Consider the following 20,542-nt stretch of genomic DNA (forward strand, 5'->3'; position numbering starts at 1 on the left):
GGAAGAACCAAAGAAAAATTGCTGTGAGAGGAGGAAGGCAGGAGAGCCTGTGGCTCCAGAGGGGTGTGTGTGTTTGTGTATGTGTGTTTGTGTGTGTGTGAGAGAGAGAGAGAAAATAAAATGTTTTCTACCAACAAAACTCAGGTGTGTTTCCTTTACTTGCCTTGAAGCTTCTTCAAAACTTGTTATACCGTAAGTTTGAAAAACCAAACACTTTTCCTAGGATTGTTTTTTTACGTACTAAGGACCAGATCAGATCAGCAATTAGAAGTATGACATACAAAATAATCACCCTCAAGGAAGGTTTAAATTAGGGATGAATTTCCAGTATTGACATGGATCTTTCCAAGCACCCTGCATATTCAGCACAGTATTCTAGTATTTTGTGAGTGAAGTCATTATTTCTTAGGACATCATCAAAAGATTGAGCGTGTAATAGACTTCAAGCACCTATGGATTTAATATTTACAATTTTGACTATTTGGGTGTGACCTGAAGGTCTAGCACTTGGGTAGTTTATAATTTTGCCGAGACGTAGGTTAGAGTTACATGAACAGATGCAAGAGAAGGAGTCACTTCACCCATATGTGGGCCAATGACTCAGAATCCACATCCCAACCCAATTCTGTTGTTCTCCATTTGCCATCACAGGCATATTCACTTTCTCAAGTGATAAAATCTCAACGGAAACAGCAAAAAAAGCTTTAAAATTTCATGAACATTCTTGAAAGGATCTCTCAAAGTTCTAAAAATCATTTTACTGCATTTTATGGGAGAAAATATATACTCAAGTATATATTTAATCTGGCAACTAACTAATCAGCATTTGCTTATTTGCCATTTAGCAAACAACATAGCTTAAAAAAAGACAAATGAAAGAAAATCTCATTTTCAGAATTAGTAGCAAGAATATGCAGGGTGCTTGGAACGTCAATACTGGAAATTCATCCCTAATTTAAACCTTCCTTGAGGGTGATTATTTTGTATGTCATACTTCTAATTGCTGATCTGATCTGGTCCTTAATATGTGAAAAAACAATATACTTCAGATTTGAATGTTGATAAACAGTCTTGTAAAAGTTTGCTGAAATCTAAACGTTACTAGTTTTCCTTAAACTGTTGAGGATCATATAACATCTACAACCATGTAATTTTTCAGTGAGTCCTATAAAATTGCTACTAATTCTGAAAATGAGATTTTCTTTCATTTGTCTTTTTTTAAGCTATGTTGTTTGCTAAATGGCAAATAAGCAAATGCTGATTAGTTAGTTGCCAGATTAAATATTTTTTTCTCAATCATGTTGGGTTTTGTGCCATGTTTGATATTGTCTGTAACCTCTTCTTTCTTGCATTTTCTCAGCTCCCTCAGATTCAGAGATACCACTCTCATAGTAATAACTTCTAATTTGTTTGTTTACTTACTTTGATTTCTCTTTTGAGCTCTAAATCTGTATAAACACTTACTCTGGAGACTTCTCTTGAATATTTGTATCAGGGTTCTCCAGAGAAATAAAACTTACAGGAGAAAGAAGAAGAGGAAGAAGAGGAAGAGAGAGGAAGAGAGAAGAAGAGAGATTGATTCTAAGGATTTTGCTGATACAATTGTGGGGACTGACAAGTCCAAAATTTGCAGTGCAGGCTGGCAAGCTGGAGAAACCAAGGAAGAGTCAATGTTTTCATCTTGAGTTCAAAGGCAGTCTGGAGTCAGAACTCCCTCTTCCTCAGGGTACCTCAATCTTTTCTCTTAAGACCTTCAGCGGATTGGATGAGGCCCAGCTACATTATGGAGGATAATCAGATCTACACAAAGTCTCCTGATTTAAGTATTACTCATACTAAAAAATAGCAGCAGCATATAGACTAACATTTGACCAAACATGTGGGTGCCATAGCTTAGCCAAGATGACATATAAAATTAACCATCTCAATGTTCTATAAACACTTTTAAATTCAACAGACTCCAAAAGAAACTGCCACATTCCTCACATTCCTCACAAACTCAATCTCCTTTTGGGTTCCCTTTTTGGTTTCCTTCCTGTGGGCACACGTAGGGGAAGGGCAGGCCTGGGCATTCAGGCTGATGGGACCCAGGGGGAAGCACAGGATAAAGGCAAGAGCAGGGGCAGAGTATCCTTTATCTATGACCAGGTACTGTGGTCATGTCCTAGACCTAGAAGGAGCACCAACATCAAAGCAAGGAAACCTAAGAGCTCAGTGAAAGCTAATGAAATATGTAGTCAAAGAAAGAGACATCGAGATAGCAGGAAATCTGAGGCTGGTAAAAGCCTGACTGGGCCAGAGGGAACACAGCTCAATAGGAAGAGCTAGTTTATATTGAGCATTTCCTGTGTCCCAAGCAGGATATCCTCAATATAAACTAGCTTAAATTATAGGAAATCTTCATTTATGTCTGCTCTGTCAGGTGAATAATTTGTGAGATACACAGCTAGAAAGCTATAGAGACTTGTTGGTGGAAAGGCTGGGGTTAATTCCAGAAACAAATTCTGCCTTTCAAATCTTTGCTGGTGTGGGTATACTCATGTGTCGTATTTATTTAAAAGCAATCATGGAGGAATAAACTATCCCAAGTGTGATTATTGTCTTGCTTTCTACCTGAGCACCCAAGCTAGATGTCATTAACACATCAGCGTTATCTCCCGCCATTCCTCTCTTCACTGCTCTATTTCAGCAGGTCCTATTGATTTTGCTGCCAAAGGGTATCTTGAGCCTTTCCCTTCCTTTTCATTTATCTTGCTTCTAATCAGGCTTCAAATAATTTCACCTATGCTATTACAGCACCTCCTAACTAATATTTTAAATTTGTAACCTCTTTCTCTTCTTGAATTTGTTTTTTGTATTGTCGTCTGTCTAAACTACCTTCCCAGGCTAGCAGGAAGCCCAGAAATCTAAATCAGGAAGCCAGAGTTTGGCAAGAGATTTAAGAAGAAGGGCAACTTCTGCCATGGGGAAGAATTTTCAAAGCAGAATCAAAAACATTGCTCAGGAACAAAGGTGGTCCCAGAAACCTAGAAAAAAATCCAGATAAAGTATAATTCCAAATGTTATCAAACGGAGATGCAAGAATTGTGTCTTAGGTAGTGTGATGGTTAATTTTATGTGTCAACTTGACTGGACTAAGGGATGCCGAGGTAGCCTGTAAAATATTTCTTGGCCAGGCATGGTGGCTCATGCCTGTAATTTCAGCACTTTGGGAGGCTGAGGCAGGAGGATCACTTGAGGCTAGGAGTTTGAGATCAGCCTTGGTAACATAGCAAGACCCCCATTTGTATTAGTTCCTTTTCACATTGCTGATAAAGACATACCCGAGACTGGGCAATTTACTGGGCAGGCATTACTTTTCCATGTGACAAACTGCCACAAATTCAATAGCTTAACACATGTTTATTATCTCACAGTTTCTGAGGGCCTTGAGTCCAGGCACAGTTTATATGGGTCGTCTCCTTAGGGTCACATGAGGCTGAATCAAGGTGTCATCCAGGGATACAGTCTCACCTGAGGCATGACTGGAGAGGGATCCACTTTCAGTCTCACTCAGGTTGTTGGCAGAATTCAGTTACACAAGGTTGTAGGACAGAGCACTTCAGTTTCTTGCTGGCTGTTGACTGGAGGCCGCCCTCATCTCCTAGAGGCCACCTGCAGTTCTTTACCATGTGGGATCCCCCAGCGTGGCTGCCTGCTTCCTCAAGGAAGCAAGGGAGACAGAGACTCCATTAGGGTGAGCCTTACAATCTTATGAAATACAGTCATATAATCATACACATCCTGTCACCTTTGTCATATTCCATTTGGAGGAAATAAGTGGCAGATGCCACCTGCAGTCAAGAGGAGGGGATCACATGAAGACAACACCAGGAGGCATGGGTGATGGAAACACATTGGTAGCCTGTCTATCACAGGTACCAAAAATATTTGATGGCATTTCCCATCTTTCTACTTTTCACCATTTCCACCGCCATCCTCCTCATTCGAGTCCACAGTATTTCTTGCATAGATACTACAGTAGCCTCCAAATTCACCTCATTTTTGCACTTGCCTCCTTAGAATCCATTCCACACAGCAGGCAAAGTTGTTTTCTTAAAATGGGCAAAAATCTTCATCCTTCACTCAAGTGTGCAAGAAATACACATTTTCTTATTTTATTTAAATCAACAAATTCTATCCCAAGCTCCTACCCTACTAGGCTGGTGAGAAATTCCAAGACCCCCAATGGTTGCCTAAAACTGCAGATAGTACTGAACCCTAAGTACACTATGCATGAATTTCTTTTTCCTTCTTCACAGTTTTATGGATAGAAGATTTGTTTCTACCATAGATCTTAGCAACCTCAACATACAATTTTTTCCCTCCTTATTAAGTCAAGAACTTTCACATTTTCACTTAAAAGAAGTACTTTACTGCTTCTCATTGGCATATTCAAATTGCCAGCATCACTATTCTTGTGCTTTGAGGCTGTTATTAAGTAAAATAAGGGTTGCTCAGCACAAGCATGACCATGCCTTGACAGTGGATCTGATAACCACAAAGGTTACTAAGTGACTAATGAGCCGGTAGTGTACACAGTGGGGATATGCTGGGCAACGTGATGATTCCTATCCCAGACAAGTCAGAGCAGAGAGGCACAAGATTTTATCACACTACTCAGAATGATGCATAATTGAAACCTTGTAAATTGTTTGTTTCTGGAATTTTCCACATAATATTTTTGGACAGAGATTGACTTTGGGTAACTGAAACCATGGAAATGTAGATAAGGGTGGACTCCTGTATTCACACCCAATGCCTGATGTTCAAATGTTCATCCCCTTGAGAAAACAAATTACCTCAGAAAACACATTCCTCTGGCAATCCACTGGCAGCCTGGGTTGGGAGCTCAGGTTCTTGCCTCTGCTACAGTTCTTGGTGATGTCTAATCCAGCATTCAAAGGTCTCTTCTGCTGGCCCAGGAATCTTGTGTCCACCTATGAATTGGATCCTATCCTCCTGCTTAGGACCCCTCAATGACTTCCCTTGACACTTCCTGAGGTCTATACATCCCTATGTGTTCTAATCCCTGTCCATCCTTCCAAACCATCTCCTATCTCTTTTCTCTTTGCTAAGTTTCTATCATACTGACCTTCTTTCATTTCCATAAGCATGCTAAGCAGTTTTCTGCCTCACACATGCTATTCTCTCAGCCTGGAAAACTTTCCCATCTGCCAACAATTGGACTTCAACTTAAATGTCACCTTCCCTGACCATCTTATCAAAAAGTAGTCACATCCCCTTACTTCTCTAACACCACTGTAATCATAATTATTTTTATTCCATTAAAAAAATGTTTTTGGCCAGGCACAGTGGCCCACAACTGTAATCCCAGCACTTTGGGAGGCCAAGGCAGGAGGATCACTTCAGCCCTGGAGTTCGAGACCAGCCTGGGCAACATGGCAAAACCCTATTTCTACCAAAAATTAGCTGGGCATGGTGGCATGCATCTGTAGTCCAGCTACTTGGGAGGCTGAGGTGGGACGATCGATTGAGCCTGGGAAGTGGAGGCTGCAGTGGGCTGCGATCATCACGCCACTGCACTCCAGCCTGGGTTACAGAACAAGACCCTGTCTCAAAAATAAATAAATTAATTAATTAATTAAAAATGTTTCTATTTACTTGGTCATTGGTCAGTAAGTTCCATGAGGCCAGGACTGTGTCTCTCTCTTTCTAAGCACTGCTTTCTCTGCACCCTACAAATTTTGATAGGCTGTATTTTCATTTTCATTTAGTTCAAAATACTTTTTAATTTCTTGAAACATCATCTTTGACACAGAAGTTATTTAGAAGTCTGCTGATTAATCTTCAAATATTTGGGTATTTTCCAGCTATCTTTCTGTTATTGATTTCTAGTTTAATTCCATTGGTCTGAGAGCACACTTTATATGATATATATTCTTTTAAATGTGTCAGGGTGTGTTTTATGGTCCAGAATGTGGTGTATCTTAGCAAATGTTCTATGTGAATCAGAGAAGAATGTGTATTTTGCTGCTGTCAGATGAAGTGTTCTATAAATGTCAATTAGATCCAGTTGATTGATGGTTACATCTATCTTTTTCACCACTATATTCCCAGGATCTAACAGAGAACTTGACCTATAGCATGTGCTCCATAAATGCTTATTGAATGAAAGGAAGAAGACAAGCACAGGCAGGGAAAAATGAATACAGAGATCTTATATGTTACTCCCCAGATTAAACACTTTCAATAGTTCACTATAATCTACACGATATATTTTAGCTATTGTTCCTTCTACTTGCTAGCAATATTTTATAATCCATACACTATATTTCTTCTGTTGTAACACACAATTATTTTATATACCACTGTATAAGAAAAAATAAATGCTAACATCATAAGATGCCATCAATTTCAAAGGTGTTTAAACATCAAAAAAAAAACTTGAGTTGGAGAATTGATGAAATATTGTGGTTAGCTAAAGTTTATCTGGTCCTCTAGATGAATTTATCCTTATTTATCTTTGTATCCCCAGCACCAAGCATAGTATGTGGTAAAGATACTCAGTAACATCAGTTCAGTTTAGTTATTTGATTCGTTGCTTATTCTGCACCACCAGTCACCTGGCTTTCCTTCATTCCGCATCCCTGATATCTTCTATACTCTAATGCTGTTGGTGTTACTGGCTGGCCAGAGATTTTAATTTCTTTTGAAATGCCTTTGCTCCACAAAAATCTGACTCTTTTCCACTCTTCTAATAAACTTGATGTATGCTGTTAGCTGCAGTACAACTAAACATCTGCCAGACTCACTTGTGTGTTCTTGAAGCTACTATGGTACATTAATGTCCTCCCCCACTGTCCCCGTTCCCTCAATACAGTTACAGTGTGGTTTTAGATGCTGTGGCAAATGAGAGAGGAAGAGTATTTGGGCAGAGAGAATTTCTGAAAGCTTCAAATAAATAGATAATTACACTTGTCTATTTACTAGACTGGCCATTCCTTAAGCTTTATTTTTAATATCTACTTAGGAAAAGTAAGAAAGAAGAAAGTAAAACTCTTAGGGATCTTCTCCCCCAGTTAAATAAGCTCTATCCCTTTTTCTCCCTTTGAAGTAGGACTTTTTTGAAAAAAGAGCCACAAATGGGTGTCGTGGTGGATGAATTTAGCCATCCAGGTTCAGCCAGTATGGTGTTTTTTAGACATGCAAGAAGGCTGTGCCTCCTCCAGTCAGCCAGCACACGACTTCCTAACCATGTTACTGTAGCTGATTCATATACTCCTAATTGCCCACTGGCCCCTTAAAACCATCTGAATTTTTGACCCCTGCCTTGAACGTTATGGTTTTTCTTCTCCAGGAAGAACTCCAGCTCACTGTGTCTCCTTAATTTTGTTACTCTTATTTTGAAAAACTTGCCATTAGAGATGGATCAGTTTCTCTAACTATAGGGAAAACTATACTGTGAAGTTGAAACAAACTAGTTATAGAAATGTGTATTAGATATATTTTTAGTGCAAGGAATAGCTATAAAAATAATCCCCAACTCTATCCCCACAAAGCTCAAATGTCCATGGTATTTATGAGGTGGTATTGGAAAGGGGAGGAGAGTAGTTAGAATTTTGAAACTTTTGTGACAATGTTAGCACTCAAAACTGCATCAAGAATTTTTTGGATCTGAGACTGAGACTCCCCTCTAATTCTGGCTTTAACTCACATTCCTTCAAGCAGATCTTTCCTGCTTTTTTGCTTGGATTTTAATAAAGCAAAGGCAGGGGAAGTCAGTGTTGGATGAAATTGCAAAGAGTAGTTCTCGTGAGTCTTTTAATTCATAGCCATAAGGGATAGGTGTTCTTTGTTTCCCTTTTAAAAAGTCAGTTGGGGGTAGAAGACAAGTTATTAAGAAGTTAAAAATAAAATTGAAATGCTTCCCTCTGTTTAAGAAATAAAAATATAGGCTGGGCGCGATGGCTCACGCCTATAATCCCAGCATTTTGGGAGGCCAAGGCAGGTGGATTGCCTGAACTCAAGAGTTCGTGAACAGCCTGGGCAACAAGGTGAAACCCCATCTCTGCTAAAATACAAAAAAAAATTAGCTGGGCATGGCAGCATGTGCCTGTAGTCCCAGCTACTTGGGAGGCTGAAGCAGGAGAACTGCTTGAACCCAGGAGGTGGAGGTTGCAGTGAGCCGAGATCACCCCGCTGCACTCCAGCCTGGGTGACAGAGTGAGACTCATCTCAAAATAAATAAATAAATAAATAAAAACGTTTTTTGGGAATTTGCTGCTTTAGTTTTTTAAATAGTAGTTTCCATTTTACTTTTCCCCTCTACCTCACTCTGTCCCCTGACTTCTACCCACTCTATGTTTACCCACCACCCTGAATAAAATTTAAGTCACCAAATGCTAATCTAAAAAACAGAGACTCCTGTATTGGTTGAAACCCTGTGAGGATAATAGAAGATAAGTGGGTTCTGAAACACTGGCCATTATTTCTTCTACTAGACCAATTTAAACTCGAATTTATTAGGTTTCATTATTATTTTCCAAATAAGACTTTGTAGTTCACAGACTAACATATTTAAAGCTATTGTGATAAACTAAGCCTGTTAGAAGTGGATACATTCATCTTGTAAATTATTTCAAATTTTAGCCTGAAATTCCCCAGCATTTATACAAATGTAAAAATTTTCTAATAAGTAAACAGAACCATTGAAAACGTAGAGACCATCTTTGTTGTCTTTTATGGTGTCTAGCTCCTAGTGCCTTCTGATTTTCTATTTATTACAGGGGTAAGCCTCTAATTTATCGGTCTTTTGTGGGTCATTACATTTTAATTATGACAACAAAATAAACATTGATACATTTAGGAAAGTTTATAATCCAACTACCAACGTAAATGAATTACTAAGAATATAAAAGATTCTAGATTGAGTGTAAATAAACATTAGTAATAATAATAATATTTGCCAGTCACTTTGGTATCAGTCTTTCAAATATTAAATTTTCAATTATAAACATTACTAATTTAAATATTTACTAAGAGAAAAATAAAACAAATAAGTGAGAACTGATTACATTCAAAGTTCATTTTTCAAAAAGAACTTGTATTAGAGCAGATCCACCAATTAAGCCACACTTTCAATAGGGCAGGGTGGTATTTGGATCATAGTTACAAAATTACCAGGGTAAAAAGAGTGGGAGATTTTCAGGGCCATTCTTCTGTGTGAGGGAAGAGCCATACTGACCCCATCCTGGACATATGGGAATTTGCCCTAGTTTTGAACATAGTACATTTCAATTGTTCTAGACACTTGGGATGAGTGAGGGGTCTGGAGAAGGTCAGAAAAAAATATATAGATTTTAAGAAATTACCCATTTACTGGCAATAAAAGTCAATTTAATAGTATTTTTCTTCGTGACTTTTTTTTTATTATTTTTTTGAGATGGGGTGTCACTCTGTCACCAGGCTGGAGTGCAGTGGCACAATCTCGGCTCATTGCAACCTCTGACTCCCTTGTTCAAGCAATTCTCCTGCCTCAGCCTCCCCAGTAGCTGGGATTACAGGCACACACCACCACACCCAGCTAATTTTTGTATTTTTAGTAGAGACAGAGGTTTCACCATGTTGGCCAGGATGGTCTCAATCTCCTGACCTTGTGATCCGCCCGCCTCGGCCTCCCAAAGTGCTGGGATTATAGGCGTCAGCCATCACGTCAGCCTATGACATTTTAATTCTTATTTTAAATAAACTGTGCAGTCCCCTAGGGTCCCAGTCCGAATAACTTACACATGTATACAGATAGTATTGACATAATAGGTTGTTTTTTCATACTTGTTTTTTCATATACCAAGTAAAATTCAATGGATTTTCAAAATTTAATATGATTACTTATAAGATCGCATCTTACAGCATTGGTACACTGGCATACTGACTTGTTTTGATTTTTACTAAATCAAACAACACCCTTAGTAGGGAAGGAATTGAAAACATTATTTTCCCCATAGCAACAAATGAACTAGTCATTTCTTAAATATACATTAAGACTTCCGGATTGAATTCTTTCCATCCACTGTGATCTTTTGATCCATGCTAATCCAACAACACTAATCATTTTAGAGTCTGTGAATCCAGACATTGTCGTCCATAAGAAAAATTCCTAGGCTAACATAACAATCAGCTCAATATTAAATTAGCGAGGACACAGGGAAGCAGAGTTAAGCAATTACAACATGCGGTTTAGTTTCTCTGAGAGCAAACTGCCTTCCGAATTAGTGATAGGCTATTTTTTATTTTTAATTATTTTTGTATGGATTTTTTGAGTATATAATTTATGCTTAGAGCACAAAAGGCAAAGGGTACAAAAGGATATGCATAGGAAAGTAAATATCTCTCATCAATAGAAATGCTATTCAGTGTTAGCAGGTGTATAAACCATTTTGAACAGAAAATTAGTCTTCCTAGTAAGGTTGAAAGTGTGGAATTTCTGCTTCTGATAATGACAGACTACGTAAATTGAACCAACTTTCCCTCTGACAACAACTAAAAAAGCTTGAAAGATTTTAAAAGAAACCTTATCAAATGCATCAAAGAGTTAACAAGATCTTGAAGAATGATGTTCAGGATCACTTTGAAAGACATTTCAAGAAGTTGGAGTCCAAGACCACTCAGAGGTAGGGAGGGACCCTGGTAAATATCTCACTGTGAGATGAGAGCCTATGGGACTGCATCCCAGCTGTAAGGATAAACCTAGAAGGAAAGTAGCCTATGTACAGACTGCAGACCAGCTTGTGGTCCCCAAGCTGGCTCCAGAAATTACATGATGATTCGAGAGGGCTGATGCCTTTGGGTACTTGACAAAAGGTAATTTAAAAATCCTCTTTGGAGGAAAATAATACCTTAGGCCTCGAAATGTCTCTAGGAAATTTGAAGATGTGCGTACCCAATGATTCCCCCACTCCAGGTTTGTAACTTCAAAAAACTGTAGCATGGTGCACCAGGGAACGTGAGCAAGGATGCTCATTGCATTATGGCAGTGACTGAAAACTGGAAACAACTCAAATGTTCATCAACAAGATGGAATATTCATATGATTGGACACTATAGAGCAGTAAAAATAAGTGAACTATTGCTACAGTAAAAAATGAACATTGCTACATCAATATAGATAAATCTTGCAAATATAATTCAGCAAACGAGCATGTAGCAGATTATATATAGTGTGATACCAATAATATGAAGTCGAAAGCAAGCCAGACAAAGAATATTGTTTAGTAATATATACACTTGGAGTCAAGTTTAAAAGCAAGGGAACAATCAACATAAAGTTGGAGCCCCTGATTGCCTCTGGAGAGGAAGGAAGTGCACACAGGGTGCTTCAGCTATGTTAGTTATGTCTCTGCAGAGACAATCATTCATGATCCTCCAAATACAGTCATCCCTCAGTACACACAAGGGATTAGTTCCAGGATCCCTGCAAATACCAAAATCCAAGTATACTCAAATCCTGCAGCAGGCATCTGCAGAACCCGTGTGTATGAAAAGTTGGCCCTCCACATAGGTGGATTTCATATCCTGGCTGTATTAGTTCCTTCTCACATTGCTATAAAGGAATACTTGAGACTGGGTATTTATAAAGAAAAATTGTTTAATTGGCTCATGGTTCTTCAGGCTGTACAGGAAGCATAGCAGCTTCTGCTTCTGAGGAGGCCTCAGGAACTTACAATCATGGTGGAAGGTAAAGGGGAAGCAAGGCACTTCACAAGTCTGGAGCAGGAGAAGAGAGAGGAGGGAGGTGCTACACACTTTTAAACAACCAGATCTCACAATTCACTCACTCACTATCACCATAACAGCACTGAGGGGAAGGTGCTAACACATTCATGAGAACTCTGCCCCCATGATCCAATCACCTCCCACCAGGCCCCACCTCCAACACTGGGGATTACAATTTGACATGAGAGTTGGTGGGGATGCACATCCAAATCATATCACTGGCAAATACTGTATTTTCCATCCACGCACAGGAGGACTTGTGTCCTTCAGCCCATGATGTTCAAGGGCCAACTGTATAGTATGACTTATTTTGGAAAAGGGAAAGAGCACGTTCCTTTAATTAATTATAAGGCCAACCTGCAGTTTGTGCAAAAGCTACTTTCCTCCCAGGTTTATCAATACTCCTGGGATACAATCCCCAAGGGTCTTATCCATAGCATCTCTCAAAGTCAATTAGATATAGTCTAATGTGCCCTTTTCTCTGCCATCAGTCCTAGGAATAGCATCTGTCTGGCTGGGAAATGCTGCTATTTCTTCCTGCAGAATCCAGGCTTAGCAGGGGTAGAAGCAAAACATGGTGAAGTAGAGAAGCAGCTAGCCCACGTCTTTCCCTCTTTCCATTTCTCTAGCCCTCTGCCTTGCCCATTGCAGACTTTGCTGCTGTGGTGGGCTTGAGCTGGGTTGAGAAGACCTTTAACTTTGAATACAGTCAGAGATTTTTATTATTACAGTAAACTGGACATATTGACTACCACAGTGACAGTATTTTGAGATAAAGTAATTAGAACTTTTTATTGTTTCTGAATAATGAGAGAAAATTATGGAAGCTGCTTGTGATTTTATCTAAGAGATGGGGAAATCCTGGCTTCACAGAATGGGTCTGAGTGTGCCAGAACCATGCAGGGGGAGTAAACTCGCTGAAACAAGAGTCCTACCTAACATACCAATTTTACAATAATTAGGTACAGAAACAGACTCACTATATTAACGGAAGCTCTCTATTCACTCTGTAAAACATATTGACTGGTATCAAAGCAAACTTTGCTCCTGGTGTATGATAGAACTTCTGTCCCCTGAGATGAATGCTGGCCAGGAGGCAGTTACATTTGTTCCAAACCTGACTTGCCAGTTGTATTCTTTAGGTAGTTACTTAAGTTAATAAAATGTTATTAAATCAATGGGTAGAATAGAATGTTGCACCTATGAACACCAAGTCGAATATTTTGGAAAGTCTTGATTAAATTGAGTGGAATTGGGGGTATATATAATAGCTGCAAAAGACTGAGAAAAGTTGTAAAAATATAGAAGAACTACACATTCAGATTTTTCCACAAATGTCTTTAAAGTCTTCCTTTGAAATGAGGAATGCATAAAATTAAAGGATTTGAAAAAATTCTTTCTGGGCCCCTTCCAGCTTGTGTTATTTTATGACTTTTATCCTTGAAAATATTTAATCATCTTTATAAACATGAACAGGATTTGTAAAATGTATTTAAGTCTCTGAAAATGTGCTATAAGTAGCAGATATCATTGTACGTACAAAGAGACAGTGATGCTACAAATATCTTCGATTTTATCGATGTTCTTCCACACTGCTTGAATTGCATTCATGATCCCTTTGGGCTGATGTCATGGACTGAATGTTTGTGTCTCCTGAAAATTTATGTGATAAAATTTAGCACCCAATGTGATGATATTAGAAGATGGGGCCTTTGAGACTAATTAGGTCATGAAGGTGGAGCCATCGTGAATGAAATTAGTGCCCATATAAAAGGGATCCCGGGGAGTAATCCTGCTCTCTTTCTGCCACCTGAGGATACAAGAATTCATCAGTCTACAACCTGGAAGAGGTCTCAGCCATGCTGATGCCTTAATTTTGAACTTTTAGCCTCCAGAACTGTGAGAAATAAATTTCTGTTTTTTATAAGCCACCCAAAATACGCTACTTTGTTACAGCAGCCTAAACTGAGATAGCTGATAAATTTGGAGACCAATATTTAGACAGAAACTGAAATTATTAATTACATTATTCAATCTGCCAAAGGTGACACTTTAGGATTGCTGTTGTCCAGCTGCAAATCTCTTTGTGTTCCATTATGCTTCTCCAGTGGATGGGGTCTTGAGCTTCATGAGTAAAAGATGTTCATTACACCTTCTGTGCTTTGATCATATAAATATTTCTCAACAGGTTATTTTTGGAAATGTATGTTTGTTTACTGATATCAAAAGGGTTTTTTGTATGTGGTTATATTGGTGATCAAAATGGTGTCAAGATAAAAATGAACTATTTTGAAGGACATATATATTCTCAATCATAAAGTCAATTCAAAATGTTGGTTCATTGAGGTTCTCCTATATACAGATCACTATTTTAGGGAGTGGGAAGACATGAAAATAAATAGAATTTAGTCACATGGTTCCTGACCTCACCTTGTGTAAAAAAATAGCAATTAGCCGAGCATGGTGGTGCGTGCCTGTAATCCCAGCTACTTGGGAGGCTGAGGCAGGGGAATCGCTTGAACCCGGGAGGCGGAGGTTGCAGTGAACCAAGATTGCACCACTGCACTCCAGCCTGGCGACAGAGCAAGGCTCGGAAAAAAAAAAAAAAGAAAAGAAAAAGAAGATAGCATGTGAATTCTGACAGGATTTTCTTTCCTTCAGGTTCAGCCCTCCATGTGTCTTCTGATTTTCCTGTCCACGTATCTTTGTCTTTGTATTCATTAAAAAAATTGAATACTCCCAACTTATTAATGTAGTAGTAATGATCCATTGCTGATTGTACCAAAATGCATGCCAGTTGAAGTAAAGTTGCTAATTGGGTAGCCACAACTAGTTGAAATGAAAAACTGACACTTAAAATGGTAGATATAGCTTCACAGAATGAGAAAGCGGTAGCCTTAATTTGTTAGCATCATCAGATATTTAGTTCCTCAGTAATTCAGTGACTTCCGCAGTTAGTTAAAGCTTTCAGTAAAGAAAAATGTTTTTAAATACCTCTCTCTGCCACAAGAATCTCCTTCTCCAACAAATTAATTTCCTTCTTGCCAAGGTATGTGTGTACTTGTCAACCTTCTCAACTCATGAGTCTGCATTCAGCAGAAGGGGTCCTATTCCAGCTCTCCCACTTACTATTTGTTAGAGTTTGTCAAGCTTTCCAGTCTCAGTTTTCTAATCTTCAGTATAGAATAATAACCCCGACCATAAAGAGCATTGTGCACAATGGGCCTATTATTAATGTTCATTTCTTCTGTGAGTTCAACACAGTGATCAGATCATATCCAATTTGAGGAACTTAAAGTTAACTGCTAAGTTGTGATATGGTAAGTGGAGTCCTGAGTTTGATGTATGTGAACTTATACTGAGACAAAACTTTTACCTGTGGTCTAGTTCACAGTAAAATGAACTACTGGAAGAATAAAAAAAGATTTGAGAACTCAATCAAAATAAAATCAATCCAAATAAATGGTAGTGCAATTTGCTGAGTTTCTTCAATGAAGAAACATACACAATAAACCTGTGAATGTTATCACTGGAAGTGTTTGATGCTGTGGGAAGGAATAACATTTCTATTTCACTGTTATTACTAAATCATAATTGCATGGTGTTTAACCTCTACTGTATAAATCATCTAATGAGGATTCATTTCTATGTAATTTTTTGTTACACAAAGAAACACTGCATAATACTTACCCAGTAATAGGCAGTTTTTTAGACCCATTGAATCAAAATCTGATTTGGGGACTGTAAATTTACATTTTAAAGAAACACCCACATGATTCTTAGGCACACAACCGACTGAGAACCACCAGGATGAGGGCCTTTAGTATTTGTTGTGTGCTGTCCCTTTCCACATTTCAAAGAATACTAAGGGGCTGTTAGGCGTGTACTAGTGGCTGAGAAGTTTGCTTTCACAGTAAAGAAGGTAACACCATGACACTGTCTGTGGCTTAAGATAAAATTATGATATTTCTTGAGAAAGACAAAACTCTGCTGTTGACTGTCCTAGAAGGCTAAAAGGATAATTGGAGTTGTCGAGCTGGTTATGACCAAAGCTGCTTTAGAACTTCTTTGGAGTTTGAGTGATCCTTGCCACATGGTGAGATCTTCAGGGACCTGTCAAGTTCCTGACAAGAACTTGATTGAGGACAAGACACTGCTCCTTTAAGCCACATGAATTGCTACAAGGATCTTAAAATACACAAATGAAGACCAGGTAGAAGCTCAGATGCTGGTCTCAAATTCCAACCCTGTTGTCAGGATTTTCTGTCATATATCTTTTTAAAAACAACAAAGTAGAACATCCTTACATGTAGGGAAGTTTATTTGTACGAAATGATGTTAAAAAAAATTCCAGGTGCTTTTTAAAACAATTATTGCTGATTGTTTTGTTGTATATTAATAATACCTCTATGTGTTTGATTTTAAGTCTAAGTTTACAGTGTGTTTTCCTTCTGTATAACCATGTTTTACTGTACTATCATAACAAATTTACAGTTGTACAAACATGAATAAATCCTTCAAAAAGCCAGCAGTACGAAGGCTCACAAGTCGGAAAGGCCCATCCTACTTAGTAGGTACTACAAACTTTATCAACTGGAGCAGGGTCTTCAAAAGGAGGGGTTGGACCTCTGGGAAACCACAGAGGCTTTCCAAGGGACACCCAGGCAGACAGGTGGTTCTAACAGGGCATCAATTTCCTGAATTTCAACTGCAGGCATACTCTATCCAAACATGATCTGAGAACACTCTTGTGGTTTTAAGGTTATATGGGACCTCCGTTTCACCTTTGCTTTCACTTGACAAAAGAAGGAACAACTTCTCTCCATGGTTAATACTACTATGATACAATTTCTGAGATGAGAAACCTGCATGAGTCAGAGAGAAATGTGAAATAATATTTCTGGTATTGAAAAAATGAATGCCTTCAATGACCGGAAAACAAATCCTTTTACATTTCAGGGATTTTCCACCTCTTTGGTTTTTTTTTTTTTTTTTTTTCTGTTTTTTGTTTGTTTGTTTTCAAGACAGAGTCTCACTCTGTCACCCAGACTGGAGTGCAGTGGTGCAATCTGGGCTCACTGCAACCTCTACGTCCTGGATTCAAGCAGTTCTTCTGCCTCAGCCTCCCAAGTAGCTGGGACTACAGGCCTGAGCCACCACACCTAGCTAATTTTTGTATTTTTAGTAGAGACAGGGTTTCACCATGTTGGCCAGGCTGGTCTCGAACTCCTGACCTCAAGTGATCCCCCCACTTCAGCCTCCCAAAGTGCTGGGATTACAGGCGTGAGCCACCACGCCTGGTCCACATCTTTGGTTTTAACAAAATTAAAGGGAGACCTAACTAGTAGATCATTAAAAATACTTTTTGATGATAGGTCACTATGTGATTTTTGGCATATTAGTGGCAAGGAGTTCAAATAATTGAGTGACATTGCTAAAACAAAACTCATTTCATCCCCAACCACCAACTAATATAAATAAGATTCCTTAGCACTTACATAAAAATAATTTAAAATAGGAATAAAACTGATGCTGAATCCCAACTTATTCTAGCAATAAAGAGCCATATGTGGATGCATCCATTGAAAAGCAGGCCTCATTCTTCTCCTTAAAAGATACGTCATGTTAAATAATGTATCAAAATGTGTAATGTACTTACCTTGTTTTGATTAATTGGGTATCAATAAAAATTATAATGATAATGCAAATCAGAAGATTTTTTAAATAGTTAAGCCTTGAGGTCACTGAAAATTAAATTTTTATTTATATTTCAATTTTCATACATATTTCTGTTTCAAAAAATTATGATGTCATAAGGACTTTCAATCAAAATATATTAGGCTAAAATTTGGGAGAGAAAATGAATTGGAGAGGAAGGAGGAACTTCTAACTATTTAAAAAAGAACATGTTCATCTTTTTAGTGTAGATATGTAGGCATCAATTCCTCATGATAGTCACATTCCACTGGACACACTTTAAAATGTAGTATGAGTTTTAAATGTCAATATTTATGATATGCCAGGAATTATATCATTTACAACTATTAAATGTATAAAACTTTTAGATATTTGAAATTTAGATACAGAGATAACATTTTTAAGTGTTGGAAGGGTACATAGTTTTTCAAAGTTATTGTACAGAACACAACAGCAAACAAACCTACATTAGGTCAGTAGTTATATGTTAATGAAGCAGGAAATTTCCCCGACCCCTTCGTGGGCGGGAACTGGAGTGCACGGGCGCTGGACCCAGGCAGGAGCTTCAGCCAGGGTGAATTCCACTCACTCAAACCCACTGCGTTCTACCCCTCGTGGGACGGGGAGCGCAGGTGGGTGGTGCAGGAGCCGAGGCGAGTGCCTTTGGGCGCCACCAGGAGCAAAACTCTGTAGGTGCCATGGCAGCGTCTAGGGAGGTACCTGCAACTCCTGAAGCCCCAGAAGGAATGTTACAGTCAGTGCTCTTTTAGCTTTGCTGTCAGTGGACGGCTTAAGTGTTAACAGCTCAGTGGAGGGTCAGTGTGACAGCCTTTCGCACCTGTGCCAGAGTTCTTGTCTGGCATTCGGGAGGAATGAGGTCACATGAACAAATTAAAGATGGTAAATGCGGGGGATTTTATTGCTGGTGAAAGTGGCTCTCAGCGTGAAGGGGAGCTGAAAGGGGGACAGAGCAGGAAGATAAGCTTTCCCCAGAGTCCCGCCATCCCTCTCTGAAACTACGCCATCAAGCCGTCCCTCTGAAGTCAACCTGCTTATCTCCAATGTCCAACTGTAGTCTCTGACATCCCACTGCTTCTCCTCTTCTCCTCTTCTTCTCTCTCTGCTGGTGGAGCTTGGGGCTTTAATGGGCACAGGGATGGGGGGTGGGGTGGGCCATGGGTGGTTTTGGGAAAGGCAACATTTGAGCGGGAAAACGGGAATGCATGTTCTCACTTTGGGCCGTGGTTCCAGGCTTAAGGGTGGGGTCCTCGCAGCGAACCTGCCCTCTTCTGCCCAGAATTTCCTGCCTCCTGTCCCTATCATTAATAATATCTCCAAATGCCTGGGTTGTCGAATGGGTTACCAAGGCTGCCAATGTGCAGGTCCCAGTCCAGCCAGAGCTTCAGGCTGGGTACCTCTGAGGTGGAACAGATTCCTGAGATGGACCAGGTAGCCCTCAGGGAGATTCTGGTGCCAGTAGTCCAAAGTCTACATTGGAAAATACACTCTTATCTAGGCTTTCTTTCCCCCCAGTTTTTGATAACATGGTGGTTCAGAGGTGGATTTATCTATTTGTATGTAATAGATATAATAGTACATGCATATAGATAGTGATATAATAGTTCTTGTATTGTAACTTGAATTCTTAAATTTGTAGATAAAGTTGCCCAGTTTTATTACTTCCTTCCATATATTTCCTCCCAAAGTCCACTTGAATTCTTAAATTTGTAGATAAAGTTGCCCAGTTTTATTACTTCCTTCCATATATTTCCTCCCAAAGTCCACACATGACAACAGCTTAACACCATGCAAGAAGCCAGGTGAACTGGAAAGGCCTCACAGAGGAAGTGACAGAACTAGGTTTGAGCTCCAAACAATAATATGGGAGAAGAACTGTGTAAATCACTTGTCTCTAACACACACACACACACACACACACATTTGCCATGCAATTCTGATGTGAACTACCTGGAATCTGTGCAGATTTCACAAGTTAAGGGCACAATCTCCTATAAAACTGCTCTCACTTCAGATACCAGTTACAAGCTTGGGGATTCCCCAGGCCGTGCACACTTCTGACTAGCTGGCTACAACTCCAGGAGTTCCCACAATCCCTCATGTTTGATAATTTGCTAGAATGGCTCACAGAACCCAAGAAAACACTATACTTGGAAACACAGTTTTGTTATAAAGAATAAAACTGAGAAACAGCCAAATGAAGACACTCACAGGGCAAGGTCTGGGACATCCCAAACTCGAAGCTTCTGTGTCTGGAGGACATGTCATCCTTGTGGTACGTAAAAGGTGTGTCACTAACCAGTAATCTGCCTCAAGCTTCAGATATTTAGAGTTTTTATTAAAGCTTCATTATGTAAACATGATTGATTGAAGCCAGTCTCCAGCTCCCCTCCCCACCACCCCCCAGAGATCTGGCTGATAGCATGTGGCTCAAGATCCCAGAATTCTAATCACATGGTTGGTCTTTCTGGGATGACCAGCCCCATTCTGAGTTATCTCATTAGCATAAACTCAAGTGTGGCCCAAGGGGCCCACTGTGAGTTAGGAAGACACTCCTTTCTAATTACTCAGAAACTTCTAAGGATTTAGAGGTTACCTCCCAGGAACCAGGGACAAAGACCAGCCAAATTCTTTAATACACAATACTATTCTTAAAACCCTTTCATTGTTTCTCATTACCTTTAGGATATATATCGACACGGTCCACAGGGCCCCGCATGATCATTTTCCAGCCATTTTTACCTGTCTCATTTCCTCCTTCACTCCCTGCTCAGAGGGAAGGAGCAAACAGATACACTGGACTTCTGTTAGCTCCTCAAATACATTAGGCTCATTCCTGTCAAACAGCCCTTTCCATATATTTTATCTTCCTGAAACAATCTCTACCCTCAACTTTTCTTAATAAATCCCAAAAATACTCAGATCTCAGCTCAAATATTACTTCCCCAAATCTCCTGACCTCATCTGAGTTCCCAGAATATTTCTCAGGTCTCTGTTCTTCCTGTTGTACATTCTCATAAAATGTGTACTTCTCACTGTTTATACTTGTAAG

The 20,542-nt window shown here is 39.2% G+C and overlaps 1 protein-coding gene across 5 annotated transcripts in view, besides 3 other annotated features; it reads right to left on the reverse strand.

Annotated features, from left to right (window-relative positions):
* ERAP1 (endoplasmic reticulum aminopeptidase 1) overlaps window positions 1-20,542 on the reverse strand; it is a 175,042-nt gene that overhangs the window by 58,611 nt on the left and 95,889 nt on the right. For 4 of the 5 annotated variants that reach the window (XM_047417310.1, XM_017009581.2, XM_011543484.3 and 1 more), the window contains one exon: window positions 3,514-3,697. The exons of the other annotated variant lie outside the window; for it this stretch is intronic. The gene's annotated coding sequence lies outside the window, so the exon portion shown is untranslated. The remainder of the gene's footprint in view (window positions 1-3,513; window positions 3,698-20,542) is intronic. 5 annotated transcript variants of the gene reach the window in all.
* Window positions 16,556-16,605: a silencer, noted in NCBI's record as "silent region_16196". NCBI's record gives its function as "represses an Ori minimal core promoter by ATAC-STARR-seq in GM12878 lymphoblastoid cells {active_cell/tissue: GM12878}" and the evidence as "EXISTENCE:reporter gene assay evidence [ECO:0000049][PMID:35858748]".
* Window positions 17,603-18,104: an enhancer, noted in NCBI's record as "H3K4me1 hESC enhancer chr5:96172729-96173230 (GRCh37/hg19 assembly coordinates)". NCBI's record gives its function as "activates a minimal SCP1, AML or CMV promoter by ChIP-STARR-seq in primed H9 embryonic stem cells {active_cell/tissue: H9 hESC(primed)}" and the evidence as "EXISTENCE:reporter gene assay evidence [ECO:0000049][PMID:30033119]".
* Window positions 18,105-18,604: an enhancer, noted in NCBI's record as "H3K4me1 hESC enhancer chr5:96173231-96173730 (GRCh37/hg19 assembly coordinates)". NCBI's record gives its function as "activates a minimal SCP1, AML or CMV promoter by ChIP-STARR-seq in primed H9 embryonic stem cells {active_cell/tissue: H9 hESC(primed)}" and the evidence as "EXISTENCE:reporter gene assay evidence [ECO:0000049][PMID:30033119]".

The sequence above is a fragment of the Homo sapiens genome, chromosome 5, assembly GCF_000001405.40.
Source record: "Homo sapiens chromosome 5, GRCh38.p14 Primary Assembly".
Taxonomy (NCBI): Eukaryota; Metazoa; Chordata; class Mammalia; order Primates; family Hominidae; genus Homo; species Homo sapiens.